The following is a 20914-nucleotide window of genomic DNA, read 5'->3' on the forward strand; positions in this document are numbered from 1 at the left end:
TGCAAGCTGTTAACTATTTTTATTTAATACAACTGATGAAGTTAACAGACAAATATATTTTAATAATATCACAAAGTTATAATTGTTAAGGTATTATCTATATTTAAAGGTTTTTTAAGTCAAAGACTTAACATTTGAATTTTAACTATTTTTGAAATGTAAAATGTACAATTAGTAATACCCATACTACGTATTTTAGAATTTTAAAGTTTTAGCGAAAACATTTGAGTTTCTGCAGGTAAAAGCAATAGTTCTCCTGTATCTAAGAAAAAAAAATGTATTACTAAAAAAGTGCCACTGAATTTAGACAATGCTAAACTGTTTCCTTTTTGGGGAGGAAGACAAAAGTACATAACAGTATAGAACTAGTCATTTTCATTATACTAGTATAGAACTAGTAATTTGCATTATGCTTTGTAACAAGCACAAGAATGCTTATTTATAGTAGATATTAACCACAATAAATAACTCCTCAAAAAAGATCACAACTATGATGTGTGACAAGCTGTTCGGTCATTGCTGAAAATAGTCCAGAGTTTTTTAAAAAGTGCAATCTTGAACTAAGATAAACTTAAGTCTATCAATACCAAGAAACAGTTTTAGGGACTTCATATAAATACAATAACCTGTCTTTTTTTTTTTTTTTTTTTTTTTGTAAAATAGGTTTCTACCTGTTCTAAGGAGGAGAATAGTGGTAGATGGCAAAGTTGGCAACAAGTATGTTTCTAGCAGGTGAAAGCCTGGTATGCATTGCCATAAAGTGCATCTTTTACATAAGGAAAACATGCTTATTAGATGTATACAGTACTTTTCAGGCACTTGACCTCACTTGGTAGCTAAGTTGGTGTTCAGATGTTTGTTTAATGGAAAAACATTAAATTACATATTGGCTTCAAGCCATGTTCCCATAGAACATCTGTGTTTCATAAGCTAAATCCAAATGTTCCCTGCTAAAATCAAATAATGATGCCATATACCCAATTCAGAGAAAAAATTTAATAGATTAAATAGATTGAATTGTCTCAATTTTTAAGGTTTTCCACCATAAATTTTTCTTAAATCTTTGTTGCCTGTTACTTGTCTGAATGTTAGCAGAAAAAAAAGGCTTGAAAACTATGAAATATTATGCCTAACTGATGTTAAAATGAGAGCTGCTGATCAGTACAATATACTGTTAATGGAAATATGCTTATATTTTCACTCTTACACTGCTTAAGAGCCATATTTTCTCATAGTAAATGCGTTCCTAGTTCATATTACAGAATTCAGTATGTAAACATTTCAGTGTACCCAAAAAAGCATTATGAATTTATCTATTATCCCTAAATATGTTTGGTGAACCTCTACATCAATGCCTGGCTCCAAAACTATCTCTGGGGTCCATGCCAAAGGAATGCTTTCAGATGTATCCTAAGGATAGGATTCTAAGATGAGACTGCCAAAATCTATTCTAAAATGAAAAAAATATGGCAAGATTCCAGTATGGATGCTACTGTTTCCATTTTTTTCTTGACTATTTAGCATGTAGTTTAAGTGTGTTGACATTAAGGATTTTTTTATATGCATGTATCACAGTTATTACAATTTGGGAAAATTCTGCCAATATATTTTCAGGCAATTAGCTTTAAAATAATGAAATTTCAGCTTTTAGCACAAATAGCCCTGAGAACAATGCATTCAAATTACAGCTCAACTAGAAATATTCTAATTGAGAAACCTTAAAGTACAAAAACAAGTTGTGGAAAGTTGTAAATTTAAAAAAAAAAAGTTACCAACAGTTGAGGCACCAACAGACTACAATACTTTTAAGAGTTGGGAGTTTGGAAAAAAGAACTAACATATAAAGTTATGTGCGCACATGTGCACATGCAAATTGCATTGTAATGAAAAATTGTGTCTCCAAATTTTACAGCCTAATCATTTTATTGCAGTATCTCCTATTATAGATATCATGCTCTGATGCAGGAGAGTTTTGGTAATTAACATAAAGCGCTGGTACAGAGACTTGTATCATTAAGGGAAACAGAGTCAAGAGCTTGGTTAGCAACAGTTTCTTCAAGTGACTGAGCCCCTGGAAGGGAGCATGAAAAAAACATCATAATTATGTTTATGATGCAAATGCTAAGTCAAAGTAGCAATGATATGATCTATGTTGTAGCAAATAAGGTATAACAAAGTCTTCACAGTATAAATAAAATGTTCTAAAAAGAAACAAATATTCAACCTGTTAATAAATTGGTGAAATGTATACAGATAAAAATGGCTTATCACTGTACAATGATATCAACATGACAGTCCACATTCTATACATGGTAACTCGTGATTTTTAACATTTGCTACAAAAAAGTACAACAAATATTGGGAATCAACTTTAACATTTCTGATGTCTAAAAAGAATGAAGTCACTTCTGTTCTATGTTAAAAAATACATGTTCCCCGCTTCCTTTTAATATAATTTATAAAGCTTTACTAAATATTTTGTTCTAGAGAAACATCTATTGACTTATGTGAAAATAAAGTCCCATATCTTTAAAATCTATACTTATATATCGAGTATTTACACTTCATATATTACTTAAAATGAAAATATTTATGCATAAATAGCGTTTGCCATTCAAAGTATGAAGATAGAGATGCATTATTATAATTTGTACACCCTTAATTTGTACACAATTGAAAATATATTTATGTGAAATTTTACAAGTTAGGAAGAACAGGGGCATGCTAATTGAGAGTTAATACTGAATCATAACACCAGCATGGTTAAGAGGGGCCATATGAATGAACTGCAAGCAGCACGGATTAATAATTTTCTGGAATTCCTATGAGTTACAATGCCAACCAGTAGCAATTAAGATACACATTACAGAGTACTAAGAAACTAGAGCAGTATGTAGTAGGTACTTAAATAGAATACTGGAAAGAATGTAGCCTAATTTTAATTGTGCTTTAGATGGGCAAAAGCTAAAATGTTGTAGGAAAGACGACTAACTACTACCTCACTATTTCTTGTGCTTTAGAAATTTCCTTTGTATTTCTCTTAAAGTATCTTGCTTCTTCCCCAAATTGGTTTGCCGAGGCTAAGACAATATTTAAAAGTGTGTACAAATTAAGCAACTAAAACTTGGGATCTTCTGTTACTAATGCTATTTCCAGTCACTGATTAGATCAGTTACATCATCATATATGATATACTTTCCTTTAGAAGATAGGAACAAAGGGCTTTTTAGAGGTCAAGGCATGATGGGAGAGGTCTAAGAGCCAGTCTTAGAGAATTAAGGTATTTCTGAGATAGTGATTTTGTTCTATGTTTTGCTCCAATATGATGATTGTCACTGAGTCAAAGGTCCTCACAAACCCTGTAATAATGTCTAAAATTCTGGAAATAATATACATATGACTCAAAAGATGAAATAGAAATGCAGTGGTGTCACCTAAAATACCTTTTAAAATAATTCAGTTTATAGAATTATTTGCTAGTTATAGTTCACACCAGCAACTGAATTAAGTCACACAACAATCAGAAAAAATGCATATACTTAAAATAACTTAACTTAAATAATAATATTCATATAAAGTAATGCTGCTTCCATGATTCACTTTAATTCACTTTAGGAAAAAAAGGACATAAAATTAACAAAAATTCCAAATCAATTTAAGGAATTCTCAGTTTTTGTTTAATAAATACATTAATGTCAAAAAATCTACTTAGAAATGGTTGGAAAGGGGCTGGGTGTGGTGGCTCATGCCTGTAATCCCAGCACTTTGGGAGGCTGAGGCAGGTGGATCACCTGAGGTCAGGAGTTCAAGACCAGCCTAGACAACATGGTGAAACCCCATCTCTACTAAAATACACAAAAAAGTAGCTGGGCGTGGTGGCATGCACCTGTAGTCCCAGCTACTTGGGAGGCTGAGGCAGGAGAATTGCTTGAACTCGGGAGGCAGAGGTTGCAGTGAGCCGAGATTGCACCACTGCACTCCAGCCTGGCTGATGGAGTGAGACTCAGTCTCAAAAAAAAAAAAAAAAAAAAGGAAGTTGGAAAGGAGTATTTACTGATAAATATTACTATTTATTCAACATAGTTGGAAAACAAGCATTGCATAGTATCATGTAAAGCAGATCACTCCCTTTAAACGTTGGGGGCAAAGTTAAAAGCAAAAACAACTGAGAAACAACTTTTCATTTTTATGCTGACTTACAAAGTCCTCACATAAAAACTTATAGATTTAATCAACCCTCTTTGCCACTGTCTTTTGTGTCTTCCTTATAATCTTACTTGCTAACTAACTTTCACCCAACAGTTCAGTGCCCTTCTGCCAACCATAAGAAGGGACTAAAACCACCATATAAGGTTACATCAAGTTTGCCAACAATTTGGTAAATAGTATGACCAAAGTAATCACATGGTTGCATGTGGCCACCAAAATAACTGACAGTTTTTGATAACATGATTTTTGTTTAAGGATTTGTGTTTGCCCTACACAGGCTGAAAGTGCAACAATTCCAATATATAATCAGTTCATTTTATATTAAATCTGTAATTAATGCAGAGCAGTTCAACTTAAATATGGTACTTCAATACCACTTTATGCTACATTGTTTGATTTAAAACCCTGGTTTATCATCTAACTAAAACACAGGAATGATTTGCTCAGACAAATCACATCTGCTGAAGCTATCTTGTTTGTTTCTTGGACTGACATACTGAAAACCACAGGAATATTATAGGAAACATATCTACAAAATTCAAAAAAAATTATACATATTGATAATTTTTTAAAAATTATCAATTGCTTGCAAAACTAACCCAGCACAATCTGAAAACAATTAAAAAAAGAAATGAGGTTGCTTATGAAGGCTATAGCTTTGGTGACAACTTAGAACCAAATTAGATCTGCAGTTGATTCAGACATAAACAGTGTTCATGCCTGATGTTTCCGTTTATTTGCAGGGTTTTATGGCTACAGCATATTCTTCACTCATTGCACACATGACAGACACCTAGAAGGAAAAAAGCAGGCAAAACGTTATTCAGAAGACAATACATATAGAAGATATAATTAGTTCCTCATATATTGTATATTTGTGGATATTTTGTACATATGGACTTCTGAAAGGGGTATTCCAAAACAAGCTACTTTCTTTACAGTTTTCTAAAGCAGAATTTCTCAGAGTGGTTTGTAAGACAACTTCCAGGGAACAGGAAAAATAACTATAAATGTTTGAACACTTACTACCCGTTACATTTCTGAAAGTTGTAACGAAGACAGTAAATCTCCTTCACTCTTTAACATTCCACTAGCATCATTTCTTACCTGTAAGAATAGCTCAGGGCTGGGCGCCTTGCTCAGGCCTGTAATCCCAGCACTTTTGGGAGGCCAAGGTTGGGGGATCACCTGAGGTCAGGAGTTCAAAACCAGCTTGGCCAACATGCTGAAACCCAATCTTTACTAAAAATACAAAAATTAGCCAGATGTGGTGGCACGCGCCTGCAATCCCAGCTACTCAGGAGGCTGAGGGGAGAATCGCTTGAACCTGGGACGCGGAGGTTGCAATGAGCCGAGATCACGCCACTGCACTCCAGCCTGGGTGACAGAGGGAGACTCCGTCTCAAAAAAAAAAAAAAAGTCAGGTGCAGAGCTTCAAAACAAATTTGGGTTTGAGAGTAATGCTGATGTAGCAAAAATGAACTTTGATACTTTCTTTGATAATGAGTCTCTAAGGGTTTTATGGAAAACCTGCCTGAGAGATCATTTTCAACATTTTAGCAGTATTTTTAAACCACATTCCATATGTAGTATTTTATGTTAACTAGTTGAGGTCAAAGTTTTTATAAAATGGTTTTCAAAAATAATCCTTCTCTAAGTCTTTACCTGTACATCTTCACCTGCATTGTATTTTCCCTCTATTTCTTTGCCTAGTTCACCTTCTGGCAGTTTAAGATCCTCACGAACTTCACCAGTTTCTGTCAGCAGGGAAAGGTAACCATCTTGAATGCATATCAGCTATTAGAAGAAATTATATCATTTGTGCTGATTAGATTATATCCACTTCTGTGTAATGCTTACATAGTTAAATTGCAATTGATATTAATTCATATAAGTATACAGTAATATATTAATATTCTTGGTATTTAAAATGCTAAAAATATAAAAAATATAAAATATGTACAGAATGGAAATATAAGTTTACTCCTCCCGGTACTTCCCATACCCAATCTCTGCCTTGTTAAACAGTTTAGGTTTCTTTATAGTGTATTCCATTTATGTTCACAAAATAAATATAGTTGCTGTTTTGTTTTTTTTTTTAATCAAAATGGGATATTGGGCCAAGTGCGGTGGCTCACGCCTGTAATCCCAGCACTTTGGGAGGCCGAGGCGGGCGGATCATGAGGTCAGGAGATTGAGACCATCCTGGCTAACACGGTGAAACCCCATCTCTACTAAAAATACAAAAAATTAGCCAGGTGTGGTGGCAGACACCTGTAGTCCCATCTACTTGGGAGGCTGAGGCAGGAGAATGGCGTGAACCCAGGAGGTGGAGCTTGCGGTGAGCCAAGATCGTGCCCCTGCACTCCAGCCTGGGCGACAGAGCGAGACTCTGTCTCAAAAAAAAAAAAAAAAAAAAAAGAGATATTATAAGTACTTTACAGTGAGCTGTTTTGACTTAATAATATGTCTTATAAATACTTTCTAAGCAGAAAATGTAAACCTACCTTAGTTAACTACCACATATCTGCATGGACATACTATTACTGATTTAACCAATTTCACATTACTGGGCATAAAAGTTATTTTTGCTATTACAAACAATGCATTTTCTAATTTGAGTATGAACAAAATTAAGTGGAAAACTTTTGGTCTTCAGTCAACAACAACAACAACAACAAAATCCACTAGTGTATGGATAACATTAGTGAAAAAAAAAAACCCAGTTGTCAACCCAACCTGCAAAAAAGCACGGTTTTGATACCACTGAACTTCTTTTACTACAGGAATGAGTAAACAACCAACCTCCACTCATTTATTCTATTAATAAAAGCATGTACACTATTAGTATGCCTCGAATCCTAACATGTTTTATAAAAGGCTACCATCCAGAATACCAGCTACTAATATCTACAAAAGGAGTCAAAGACAATGGTCCTTGAACCCCTGTAACCACTATGATATAACCCAGGCATATCGTTGGGATTGCTCTCCTCCACATACACCATCTACCAAAACTGCCTATGGCTCTCCACAGAAACTCCATCTATCACAGGAAATTTGAGTTTTTATATGTCTAGAAATCTCAAAAATAAGAAATCCTACAGAGCTACAACAAAGACTTTTAACTAACCTCTTAGACCCTCAAATATTTGTGAGGTGGCTGGTAGAGAAGTGGGAGCAAGGAGGTTGAGGTAGAAGTGTAACTTTTTAAAAAATATATATATTTTTAAAGATGGGCGTCTCATTATATTGCCTAGGCTGGCCTCGAACTCCTGGGGTCAAGTGAGCCTCTGCTTTAGCCTTCCAAGGAGCTGGGACTATAGGTGTGCACCAATGCACCTAGCTTGAAGTGTAATTTTTAAACAACCACAACATTCCAAGACAAATCTTTCTGATTTCTGTTCTTTTAGTAATTCCCTAAAGCACAGCTTGTCTATTTCAAGAGTTAAATGTTCGTACTGTGCCACTAGTGACTGAAACACAGAAGCCAAATAATAATACTGATATTTTGAAAATGATGTATGTAATGGAGCTATTTTATTTTTTAAGAGTTAAGAATCATAAACTGTGGAATGAAATATATAAAGCATTTCAGATGTACAAATATATAAAACATCTAGTAAAACAATGCATTTACAAACATTAAACATTAAGATAAATTGCTATATTAAATACAATTAGTTTTCAAAAATAAAACTAAGCTACGAAAAACAAAAATAATGAGAATGAATTATTTAATCTTTGATATGGTTTGGCTCTGTGTCCCCACCCAAATCTCATCTTGAATTGTAATCCCCACATGTCGAGGGAGGGAGCTGGTGGGACGCAATTGGATCATGGGGTCAGTCTCCGCAATGCTGTTGTCATGATAGTGAGTGAGTTCTCTTCAAAGTGTTTAGCAGTTCCCCCCTCACTTGCTGTATCTCCTGCTGCCATGTAAGATGTGCCTTGCTTCCCCTTCGCCTTCTGCCGTGGTTCCTGAGGCCTCCATAGCCATGTGGAACTGTGACTCAATTAAATTTCTTTTCTTTATAAATTACCCAGTCTCAGGTAGTTCTTTATAGCAGTGTGAAAAAGGACTAATACAGAAAATTGGTACCAGGAGTTTGGGCCACTGCTATAAAGATGCCTGAAAATAAGGAAACAACTTTGGAACTGGGTAACAGGCAGAGACTGCAACAGTTTAGAGGGCTCAGAAGAAAGAAAGATGAGGGAGAATTTGAAACTTCCTAGAGACTTGTTGAATGGATTTGAACAAAATGCTGACAATGATATGGACAGTGAAGTCCAGGCTGAGGTGGTTTCAGATGGAGATGAGGAACTCACTGGGAACTGGAACAAAGGTCACTCCTGCCGTGCTTTAGCAAAGAGACTGGCAGCATTTTGCCCTGCCCTAGAGATCTGTGGAACTATGAACTTGAGAGAGATGATTTAGGTTACCTGGCATAAGAAATTTCTAAGCAGCAAAGTGTGCAAGAGGTAACCTGGCTTTTTTTGAAAGTGTACAGTCATATGCATTCATGAAGAGATGATCTGAAACTGGAGCTCATGTTTAAAAGGGAAGCATAGCATAGAAGTTTGAAAAATGTACATCCTGACCATGTAGTAGAAAAGAAAAACCCATTTTCTGGGAAGAAATTCAAGCCAGCTGCAGAAATTTGCATAAGTTACAAGGAGCTGAATATTAATAGCCAAGACAATGGGGAAAATGTCTCCAGGGCATTCCAGATATCTTCATGGCATCCCCTCCCAACACAGGTCCAGAGGCCTAGGAGGGAAAAATGGTTTCATGGGCCAGGCCCAGAGCCCTGCTGCTCTGTATAGCCTCGGGACTTGGTGCCCTGTGTCCCAGCCACTCCAGCTCCAGCTGTGGCTAAAAGGGGTCAAGGTACAGCTTGGGCTGTTGCTTCAGAGAGTGTAAGCCCTAATCCTTGGTGGCTTCCATGTGGTGTTGGGCCTGCAGGTACACAGAAGGCAAGAGTTGAGGTTTGGGAGCCTCCGCCTAGATTTCAGAGGATGTATGAAATGCCTGGAGGTCCAAGCAGAAGTCTGCTGCAGGGGCAGAGCCCTCATGGAGAACCTCTGCTAGGGCAGTGTGGAAGGGAAATGTCAGGTTAGATCCCCCACACAGAGTCCCCACTGGGACACTGCCTAGTGGAGCTGTGAGAAGGGGGGTCACCATCTTCTAGATTCCAGAATGGTGTACCATGTGCCTGGAAAAGCCACAGGCACTCAATACCAACCAGTGAAAGCAGCTGCAGAGGCTGTACCCTGTAGAGCCACAGGGGTGGAGCTGCCCAAGACCTTGGGAGCCTACCTTTTGGATCAGTGTGCCCTGGATGTAAGACATGGAGGCAAAGGAGATTATTTTGGAGCTTTAAGACTGAATGGCTACCCTGCTAGGTTTCGGACTTGTATGGGACCTGTAGCTCCTTTGTTTTGGCCAATTTCTCCCATTTGAAATAACAGTATTTACCCAATGCCTGTATCCTCATTGTTTCTAGGAAGTAACTGACTTGCTTTTCATTTTACAGGCTCATAGGCGGAAGGGACTTCCCTTGTTTCAGATGAGACTTTGGACTTGGACTTTTGGGTTAATGCTGGAATGAGTTAAGACTTTCAGGGACTGTTGAGAAGGCATGATTGTGTTTTGAAAGTGAGAACATGAGATTTGGAAGGGGCCAGGGACAGAATAATATGATTTGGCTCTGTGTCCTCACCCAAATCTCATCTTGAATTATAATCCCCACATGTCAAGGGAGGAACCTGGTAGGAGGTGATTGGATCATGGGGGCAGTTTCCCTCATGCTGTTCTCATGATAGTAAGTGAGTTCTCATGAGATCTGATGGCTTAAAAGTGTTTGACAGATCCCCCCTGCTTGCTGTCTCTCCTGCTGCCATATAAAACATGCCTTGCTTCCCTTTCACCTTCCTCCATGATTGTAAGTTTCCTGAGGCCTCCCCAGCCATGTGGAACTGTGAATCAGTTAAATCTCTTTTCTTATAAGTTACTCAGTTTCAGGTAGTTCTTTATAGCAGTGTGAAAATGGACTAATACAATCTTTTAAATTGAATTATTTATTAAAAAATCTTAAGTTCTATAGAAAAGTTGCAATAATGCAATGAAATCCCATATCCTTTACCTAGATACATCCATTGTTCACATTTAATCACATGTGCACTATTTTCTCTATGTATACATCCAATATATATATATATCATATATATTCTTATTATTTTTACAGAACTATTGAGAGTAAGTTCCAAAGATCATGATTCTTCAGCAATAAATACTTCAGTGCAACAGCCATGACTTTTCAGCAATTAAAACTTCAGTGTATTTTTCTCAAGAACAAGGATATACTCTTAGATAACAACAATTTATTTTTCAAAATCAGGGAATTTAATATTGATAACCTATTATTCAATATATAGTACATATTTAAATTTGCCAATTGTCCTAGTATTGTCCTGGATAGCAACTTATTTCCCTAACTCCAGGGTCATACCTTGTATTTATCTGGCTATCATGTCAGTTTAGTCTCTTAATTCTAACAGTTTCCTCCACCCTTTAACTTTCATGGTATCTTTTTGTTTTTTGGGGGGTTTGGTTTTTCTGAGACCAGGTCTTGCTCTTTCATGCAGGCAGGAGTGTGGTGGCATGATCATGACTCACTGCAGCCTCAACCTCCAGGGCTCAAGTGATCCACCCAACTCAGCCTCCCGAGTTACTGGGACCATAGGCATACAACCACTATGCCTGTTGGGATTTTTTTTATTTTTTATTTTTTTAATTTTTATTTTTTGTAGATACAGGGTCTTCCTGTGTTGCCCAGGCTGGTCTCAAACTCCTGGGGGTTCACTGTTTTATAGAATATTCCTCAGTTTGTGTTTGTCTCACTGTTTCCTCATGATAAAGGTAATGCATTTTTGAAAGGAATACTATACAAATGATGTGTCCTCAGAGTATCCTATCAGGAGGCAAATGTCAATTTGTCCCATTACAAGTGATGCCAACTTTGATATGCTGACTAAGGTAGTTATCTGCCAGATTTTTCCACTCCAAAGTTACACTTTCCCCCTTTGTAATTTGCAAGCTTTAAGAAAAAAAAAAAGCCAACAGTGTCATCGTCAAGTCCCCAAGCATATTTTTGTGCAAATGTTTCTATCTTCTCTCAAAGGCCTCTCTGACTCCATAGAGTTGGAAGGTGGGGATGGTAAGGAAATTGTTGTAAGTATCTTCTTCTGGTCCTTTACCTTTAAACAAACCTACTGATTTGATCACTTTTAGATGTTTTTGAACATTTTTTTTTTTGGTAGAAAGTAATTATTGTTAGTAGCAAGCAGGGAGACAGCAGAGGTGAGGGTCAAAAAACTTTAGAGATGTTAGGCATGTGGAGGCGTACCAAGCTCCTGAGCAGTATATAAGGTTATAAGGCTATCAGAATGTGGTATTTTTGGCTGGGTGCAGTGGCTCACACCTGTAATCCTAGCACTTCGGGAGGCCAAGGCAGGCGGATCATTTGAGGTCAGGAGTCCGAGACCAACCTGGCCAATATGGCAAAACCTCGTCTCTACTAAAAATACAAAAATTAGCCAGATGTGATGGCACCTGGAGTCCCAGCTACTTGGGAGGCTGAGGCAGGAGCATCACTTGAACCCAGGAAGCAGAGGTTGTAGTGAGCTGAGATCACGCCGCTGCACTCCAGCCTGGGTGGCAGAGCACGACTCCATCTCAAAAAAAAAAAAAAAAAAAAAAAGAATGGGGTATTTTTTATTTCCTACTAAAATATTCTAGGGCTCCTTGCATAATTCCAGGTCCAGATCAGGAAGTGTGTAAGATGAACCTGGAGAAGCTGTTGTACTAAAAAGCAAGGAGCTATCAAGGAGAATTAAAATTAGGCCCATGTCAAAGGGACTCAAGAGCTAACTTGAATAAGCTCCCACTGGCCAAGATGGAACAATGTGAGAATAAATAAGGACACTAACAACAATGGATTGAAACACAAATATGTTTAAATGCTCGAGTTTATAATGAAAAAAATATGTATTTCATCATCTTTAGTGGATGCTAGGAACCAATTTATTTTATAAACTGTACCTTAAAGGGAAAGAGTCAAATACACCCACCCCCGCTACACGCACAGACACTGGTACTGTCTCTTAAGGCAAACAAACAAACAAAAATTGATGAAGGGAAGTTTCTTTTTATAGAAGTATTCTGGCTAAGAGAAACAAATGAAGGAATGACAGATCATAAATTTTTTCTCCTCCAATTAATATGTTGAGGCAGTATTCACATATCTGATAATATCACAAAAGGAGAAACAATCAGACTTATTTATCTAATGATTGCATAGAACATTATGGAGTAGTCCTGCTAAAGGAAAGAAAGGAAGAAAATAAAAATCTGAACTGAATCTGATTAAGACTCTATATCTTACTACCAAGTTTCAGGAAACACAAGGGACAGAGGAACATGTTAAAAAACAAGGAAATGCAATTAGCAAAATCCATACAGTGGGAAAGTCTACAGAAGAAATGATCCAGTGTCTTTGTCAAAAAATTGCAGAGACAGAATTAATCACACTGGTAATTGTTGAAGCTGAGTGACAGGTACACAGGATTCATTATACTATACTTTGAAAATTTCCACAATAAAAAGTGAAACAAAAAATGCTATAGTATATATGAATTCTAGAATAAGCACTGTAACCACTAAGTGCTGGGAGGCACAGTAAGCTAAGGAAGCAAAACATGATCTAAAAGGGAGTGTGGGGAGAGTTAATGACTGCAGATTCTGTCTTAGATGTAGTCAGAATAGGAAAGAACACTGAAAAGGGGGAATTATTGGGAAACTATTTTGCCTGCATTTGTACTACTGATATACAACAGAAGGCTGGAGAAGGTATATTATCCCTACAGGTGCCTTCTTTTTTTTTTTTTTTGAGATGGAGTCTGGCTCTGTCGCCAGGCTGGAGTGCAGTGGCGCAATCTTGGCTCACTGCAACCTCCACCTCCCTGGTGGTCTCGAACTCCTGATCTCGTGATCCGCCTGCCTCGGCCTCCCAAAGTGCTGGGATTACCGGCGTGAGCCACAGTGCCTGGACAGGTGCCTTCTTAGTTCTAATTTCTGAATTTAATTTTGTTTCTCAATCTATTTCAAAACAACCAGACTTGTTTAGGTAACACCTATTCCTTTTTATTTCTTCCTTCTTTTCCCCCAGAGTGTAGCACTCTTGTGCTACTTCCTTAGAGTTGCTGGTCCCTGAATGCTTGATCACTATTATTATACAGTGATCTGAGAGACTGAATGCTTTATCACTATTATTGTACAGCCTAAGCAAATAACACCACCATAACCTGACCCATCATCTGACCCATCAAGCCACACAACTGGGAACGCACAGCAGCTCTCCATCATTGAGTGGAAGTAGCATATATGAGATCAGCTTGAGAAGGACCTAAAGGTACAAACAAGTTGTATAAGAAGTGGCTCAGACTCAGAAAACACTTTGTCTTACCACACTGACACTTCTCCTTCAACTGATACCAATGACTAGATGGACAGTTGCCTATGACCAGCTGACTGAGAAAGGAAAATATTCACAATGGTTTCTAGATGGTTATGCATTATATGATGACACCATTCAGGGGTCAACCTGAAAGTGGGTTTGGGAAGAACTTCAAGCACTGGACCTGAAAGAAGACAGAACCAGAAGTGTGGATTTGCACTGATTATGAGCTAATGTGTGAATGCCATTCAGCCTTTTTTTTTTTTTTTTTTTTTTTTGAGACCGAGTCTTGCTCTGTCACCAGGCTACAGTGCAGTGGTGTGATCTTGGCTCACTGCAACTTCCACCTCCCAGGTTCAATCGATTCTCCTGCCTCAGCCTCCCAAGTAGCTGGGGTTACAGGTGCCTGCCACCACACCCGGCTAATTTTTGTATTTTTTGTAGAGATGTACAGAAGCCTTCCTTTTTTTTTTTTTTTTTTTGAGATGGAGTCTTGCTCTGTTGCCCAGGCTGGAGTGCAATGGCGGGATCTTAGCTCACTGCAACCTCCGCCTCCCAGGTTCAAGTGATTCTCCTGCCTTAGCCTCCTGAGTAGCTGGGATTACAGGCATGCACCACCACGCCTGACTAATTTATGTATTTATTAGAGACGGGGTTTCACCATGTTGGCCAGGATGGTCTCGATCTCTTGACCTCGTGATCTGCCCGCCTTGGCCTCCCAAAGTGCTGGGATTACAGGTGTGAGCCACTGTGCCCGGCCTCAGCTTCTTTTTGTAGCTTCTCTCATCTTTGCTCAGTGGGATCAATGACACGGGCTTTCTCTCACCAAGACTGATCTGACTACAGCCACTACTGAAAACCTCACAGAAACAGGTCAGTCTTGATATGGCAGAAGAAGAACACAGAACAGAAGAACAAGAAGTCTTAATATGTTTCCCAGAACAGCTGGCCACCTGACTGTACCCCTTCCATCATGAAACAGGCAGCAATTTTTTCTTATTGCAATAGTTTTACTCTGCATATGGATTTGCCTTTCTTGCCTGCAGTGCTTCTGCTAAAATCTCATCTCAATTTACAGAATGCCTCGTTCCTGTCATAGTATCTCACACTGCATCACTTCTGACTAGAAAACTAATTTTACAGGCAAAGTAACAAGGCAGTGCAACACCCAGATAATTCGCTGGCTCACGTACCCTATCATTCCAAAACAGCTTGCCTCTGTGGATCAGCCTAGTGAAGACTCAAATATGGCACCTGCTGAATGGTACTTTGTTGGCCTGGAGTGCTGTTTTTTGCAGGTTACAATATATTTCAATATATGATGCTATTTTTCCTATAGGTAGAATACACAGGTCTAGGAACTAAAGTTAGTGGCTCTTCTCATGATTACCCTTAATGATCCTGTAACAAATATTTGCTTCTAGTCCTCGCAACATTGGGCCCTATTGCTTTAGAGGTTTTCTATTTCCAAAGAAAGACTGCTTCCATCTGAGAACACAAGGATTCCCATGAAACAGGTAAAAATTATAAAAAGACTTTAAGCTCAAGGAATTCAATGAACATATCTAAACATTCAAATAATATACTACTTATTTGAATTCAATTAACATATCTCAGCATTCAAATGATATACTACTTATTTGAATTCAATTAACATATCTAAACATTCAAATAATATACTACTTATTTGAAGAATATACTAGAATTTAATAGTCACAGTTTTGGCAATTCACTAATAATCCAAAGGTCTACAATATATACTTTATGTGTCTATAGTAATTAGTCTTCCTTCTGGAAAATGGTTTTCAAATGACAGGTAAAACTGTAGTAAATGCAGAAACGGCATTTAACTTGTGGTGAAGTTCATATCAACACAGAACTTTCTAAAGAAATATGATTCCAGAGAGTGCTAAAGTCTGAATAAGCATTTCTGTATGAATTTGGGGATTCCCAAAGGTCTATCTGGATGCATTTATAATTTTCAACATCACTCAGTCCCGGACATCTATAACTACTTTTGGGAGAAGTAATGTAAATGAGCAATTCTAATCCAAGCTAATCTTGAAAGAGAAGTTAGGAGACAATTTTTCTTTCATTCTGAACTTATTTTAAAACACATAAAATTAAAACTATAAATATTAATACGTTTTGTTTCCTGTTTACTTTTTAATTATCATAATGAACAGAATACATATTTCTCTTTAGCCAACTGCCGAACTGGCACTCAAAATATTGAATTCAGCAAACATAAAGGATTACACACGCCAAATAATGAGTAGATATTTAATCAAGGCACTTGGTTAGGTAAGTGAAGACCACCATAGCACAATAAATATAAATAGAAAGGCCCACAGAACTTTTGTTTTTGAGACAGGGTCCCACTCTGTCGCCCAGGCTAGAGTGCAGTGGAGTGATCACAGCTTAGTGCAGCCTTGACCTCCCAAGGCTCAAGTGATCCTCCCACCTCAGCCTCTGGGTCTGCTGGGACTACAGCTGTGTACACCACCATGCCTCGCTAATTTTTTTTTTTCTGTATTTTGTAAAGATGGCGTCTCACCACATTGCCCAGGTTGGAGAACTAGTTTTTTAAACAATTAACAGAAATAAGTTATTTTTCTATGCTGACTTGAAAATGAAGAGCAGAGAAATACTGAATACTTTCTATGCCAGGCGTTGTTGTATTAACTAATTAAACCTCAAAATGATCCCATGAGGCGTTATTATTTATGTCTCTGCTTTATAAAGAAAGAAATGGAAGCAAAACAGGTTAAGTAACTTGTCAACCAAGGTCACACAGCTATTAAGTGCCAAAGTAAGACTAGGACCAGGCCTGCCTGGCTTAAATCATCCTCTTATCCACTTTGCAGTGCGGAGTACATACCAAGGGTTGGGACAAGGGTGAAGTAAGACACTTGTCTTGGGTGCAAAATTAAAGAAGGCACCAAAAAAACCTCAGTGATCAGATAGGCATTTTAATGCAATATTTTAAAAAATTAGAATTAATGCAAAAATCCTATGATAAAATACCAAAATTCTAAATAAAGATGGGATCAGAATTAATTTTCTTTGCGCCTTGAGCTCCTATATGGCTTGTCATTGTTACTAGTTCTGTCTTTATTTAAAATTTTGTGCCTGAGGCAAGAGCCTCCCTCACTTCATTTGCCTCATCCTAGTCTAGGACCCAAACCAAATTTTTCCTTTAAGTCTTGAGCTCCAATCAATGACTGGCTAACCTTATCATAGTATAATAGTAATTATCTGAACTGCTGATACCATCTTTCTGAAACATGCAACAGGCAAAAGCATTCTATATTGAATGAATATTACTGAATATAATTAATATTGAATAGTCAAAGCTTTCATACTTTAAGACGAAAAGAGAAACCCAATTTTGACAACATTCTACGCTCAACTTTAGCCTGCTGTACTATCTCTACCACATTCAGTAATCACATATACATTTAACAAATATTTTTCGAGCACCTACTATGTACCACATCAAAGTTGGTGCTCCAACAATAATGAAATGATTAAGTAGAATTTTTACATAGGAAAAGGGGGAAACAGAACAGCACTTTTTGGTACGTATCTACTTATGGAGTTCTTAATGGGGTACATTTTCTCATTTAATCCTCCTATTATCACTATTTTGTAGATGAGAAAACAGGCTCAGAAAGGTGTATAACTTGTCCAAAATCATCCAACTAGAAAGTGACAGAACTAGATCCAAACCCAGATCTACCTGGTTAAAAAAACCCACTTGCAAGACAATTCAAATTTCTACAAAGACTTCAAAGCAACCTAGAAAACATTTATGACAAGTAGGAAAGTGAAAATATAAAAGTGTTTACTAGATTAAAACCACAAAAAAGTATGTTTGCATGTGGACAAACAGCAAAAGGAAATCATTGCGTAAGTGCAGTTGATAGCAACATTAAAAGAAATTTATACAATACAACAAAGGGTACAGAAAAAAATCAGTTTAAGTCGGATAAAACAAATACCAGTGTCAACTTTGTATTTTTCACTATGTAAAATGAGCAGAAATGAGTTTGATATATGGTATGCTTGATACAGAAATTGAAGACTTTCAAGAAAAGCTTTAGTTATAAGTAATCTGAGCTTCCACATCCTATAAGGTCAATTATTTTGTTATCATCAATACTTCAAACAACAAAATGCTATCATTAAATATGACCTACCCAAATGTATAACTGGAACTAAAACTTGAAATTTACATACATAATTTAGCAAAAGGTCATAGCATGGTCACTAAGTATAATTTAACCAATTATATAGTTTTTGTGTTTTCTTCACCATACTCAGTGACCAGGTACTTTATCCTTTATATTTATGGCTTTCAACTTATTTCTCTACTTAAGAATGTCAAGTTCTGACTAACATTCATTAATGCAAAAACTTGGTAGGAACATGAATTTCAGTAGTTTCTTGAATGTCTCAGGTCTGATCAGTGAAAAGAAACAAAACATCCAGGAGGGATGTTTTAAATTAGAACAAGAAATATTTTACAACAGAGAGAATAGTACTTTTACTAAACATTGGACTTAATTGCAATATGCAGTCACTTGGCCTGAGAACACTAATAAGTATTTGACTTTTTAAAAAATGCAAGAATGTGAAAAAAATAGCAAACTAGCAATAATCCTAGAAAAGTACATGTGTTAAACATCACTATTTCTCCAATTTCTAAGATAGCTGGTGCCTAATAATTGGTTAGAAAAACCTACAAAACTACTCTTGGGTTTTGTCAAATTATTACTGATAGTACAAAGTATTTGCACCTTGAAGAAACAAGCAACATTCTAAAGAAAATCAGTGCTTACTTGATAATCATTTCTCTTAATATTTGGAACATCCATGTTGTGAGTAGAAGGACAAATATCTTCATATTTTTTGCCCGTGAAAATATCAATTCCAACAAGGTGAACCTAACAGAGGAGAACAGGAAACCTGTTTAATCTCTGCCAAGTATATCACTCATTACACACACAAGAGCACAATACCAATGCTGATTACAACAGATTCTTTTTCTCCTCCTTCCAAGGTCATCTAATTTTACTTAAAAAAAAATGTAGTGGTCTTACAATTAAGAGGCAGTAAACAACTAAACAGTATCACGACATGTCAAGACCCAATATAGACCAGTGATTCAATTATGAGATTACACAAGAAAAATAAAGTGTAGATTTCTTAGAATTGCTAGAACAGGTTTTCTCATCTGTAAACTAAATAGATCTTATAGGTCACTAGGATTCAGGAAAGTTTCAGTTCCCAGTTAATGAACATTGTAAGGGCCCAAGAAGGGAATGCTACCTTTAAGTATTCAACGTAATAACTGATTACCCAGTAATTGTGGGAAGGAAAAAATAGTGCTTATTACAAAATTTTAAGTATAGAAATCTCATGATCTGTAACGGAATACAAATGATCAAAGTCCCAACGCCGAAGCCAAAGCCTGATCTGCAAGGGTACTTACCTTGGCATGACCATGCTTTCCAGTTTTGGAAGTTGACATCTCCACTATTTTGCATGGTCGTCCTTTGAGCACCACGAAGCCGTTTTTGCGCAAGGCCGAGCACTGCATAGGGTAAGTGCTGGAAGCCCCGGCATCTCCAGTAGTGAAATCAATTTCGTCTGCCATGGTGGGCAGGGGAGATGGTAGTTTTTCCGTGGGAACTACACAAAAAGTTTGTGTTTGCTTTTTAACAACGGGTATGTAGGCAGGGAAACGTCTCATTTCGGACAAGTTATGTGCCAAGCATCATGGGCCCGTTATTTCTGCATGTAAGGAACACCCACCCTAGACTAGTGGCCACTTTCTAACTCTGGCCTCTACAAACTTTTCCAGCTACTGCTTGGGGAGGTGGGATGAGAAGTCGCAGAGGAGCTCGCTGAGGGTGGGGACACCCGCCCTGGGCGCTCCTCCGTGCTGGAAACAGCAGGTTGCGGCCCCCATCGCCCCACCGCAGAAGCCGGCGACCTTCCCCCGCCGCCCAGCCCTCGGCCGCCGCCCCGAACCCTACTGCGGGGGACCCAGCCCAGGCCGCAGGTCCCCGCGAAGGATGCGGGGTAACAGAACCTGGCCAGCAGCACCCGGCCCTCTGCTAGCTGGCGCGCACCCCGCCCTCCACCCTTCAACGTCGCCGCCGCGGCCGCACAGGCGCCCCCTGTTCTGCCGGCATCCAGGGCTCAGCTCGGCCCGGCCCGGCCCCACTAGGGCCTGAGCCCCGGCGGGTCCCGCGCTCGCCTCTGTTCCCCCATCCATTCTCCTTCTTTCTCTCGGTCAGCGCTCAGTTCTGGGCGCCTTCCCCGGCCCTGCCTCACTCTGGCCCCATCCCCACCAGCTTTTCCCCACCAGCTTTTCCCCAGGTCTTCACCTTTCAGCTGGCAAAGAGCGCCTTTCGTCTGCGCACCCGCGCTGGTCCCCTACAGCAGCGGCGCCGGCAGCGGCGGTGGCGGCCGCGGCAGTTCCAAGAGACGGGGCGGGGCCGCCACACTTTCCACACCCCAGCCTCCCCGCCCTTACCCGCCCCCACTCAGCCCTATTTCCGGGATAGGCCCCGGAGCGTCACAGGCACCGCCCTCTCGGGCTACCATTGGCTACCAGATTCCCGAGGCTCCGCCCAGTCACGTGAAGAGCGCCCTGGCAACCCCACGTGCTGCGGATTAGTGCACTTCCGGCGTGGAGCGCACTTTCAGCAGTCTGGTTGCCGAGGGTGAGCTCGCTGGCAGAGGAACTTGCGCCTTCCAACTCTTAGGTTTGTTGCGTTCGGGTCGCAGTCGACTTTAATGGGAACCAAGCAAAGCACCCAATGGCCCCTGCCATCAGGTGCGTGGCAGTTATCACATGACGATCGTCAGAACTCGCGAGGCGCGCAGATTCAGCGAGTGCCAGTGTGGCTGGCTGTGAAGCGAACTTTGGGTTCGAGCTTCTGGTTCAGCTTGCAGCCTTTCTTGGGGTTCGAACCTCCTCCTGGTCCTTAAAGAAGAATTCAGGTGCAGTATTTTATTACCCAGCTCGGCACCGCAGGTCCTGAGGACCCCCCATTCACCCCTTGGTGAGATTTTTGGCAGCGACTGCCGCCGGATGCCCCTGTAGAGTCAGCACTGCTCCCTGGGGTGGGAACTCCCGAAGCGTCCGCCAGCTAACAAGCCAGCAGTGAAAT

General features: G+C 38.9%; 1 protein-coding gene across 1 annotated transcript, besides 1 other annotated feature; it reads right to left on the minus strand.

Annotated features, from left to right (window-relative positions):
- On the minus strand, positions 1 to 20220 carry EIF5A2 (eukaryotic translation initiation factor 5A2). Its single transcript, NM_020390.6, has 5 exons — positions 20126 to 20220; positions 19225 to 19424; positions 18572 to 18676; positions 5875 to 6006; positions 1 to 5002 (listed from the first exon to the last, which is right to left on the minus strand). The coding sequence occupies exons 2-5, from the start codon at positions 19387 to 19389 to the stop codon at positions 4943 to 4945; spliced, it is 462 nt and encodes a 153-aa protein (NP_065123.1). The 5' UTR covers positions 19390 to 19424; positions 20126 to 20220; the 3' UTR covers positions 1 to 4942.
- Positions 19741 to 19880: a silencer, noted in NCBI's record as "silent region_14888". NCBI's record gives its function as "represses an Ori minimal core promoter by ATAC-STARR-seq in GM12878 lymphoblastoid cells {active_cell/tissue: GM12878}" and the evidence as "EXISTENCE:reporter gene assay evidence [ECO:0000049][PMID:35858748]".
- Positions 20221 to 20914: the final 694 nt, after the last annotated feature.

Source organism: Homo sapiens, chromosome 3, assembly GCF_000001405.40.
Source record: "Homo sapiens chromosome 3, GRCh38.p14 Primary Assembly".
Classification (NCBI taxonomy): Eukaryota; Metazoa; Chordata; class Mammalia; order Primates; family Hominidae; genus Homo; species Homo sapiens.

What these genes read in the sequence shown, in the direction of transcription:
- EIF5A2 (NM_020390.6), bottom strand. Translation starts at nt 19,389, where the DNA reads ATGGCAGACGAAATTGATTTCACTACTGGAGATGCCGGGGCTTCCAGC. An exon ending in GAAAGCATGGTCATGCCAAG is followed by an intron (nt 18,677 to 19,224) that starts GTAAGTACCCTT and finishes CTCCTCTGTTAG; the next exon opens with GTTCACCTTGTTGGAATTGA. An exon ending in ATGCAGGTGAAGATGTACAG is followed by an intron (nt 5,003 to 5,874) that starts GTAAAGACTTAG and finishes TTTTCCTTCTAG; the next exon opens with GTGTCTGTCATGTGTGCAAT.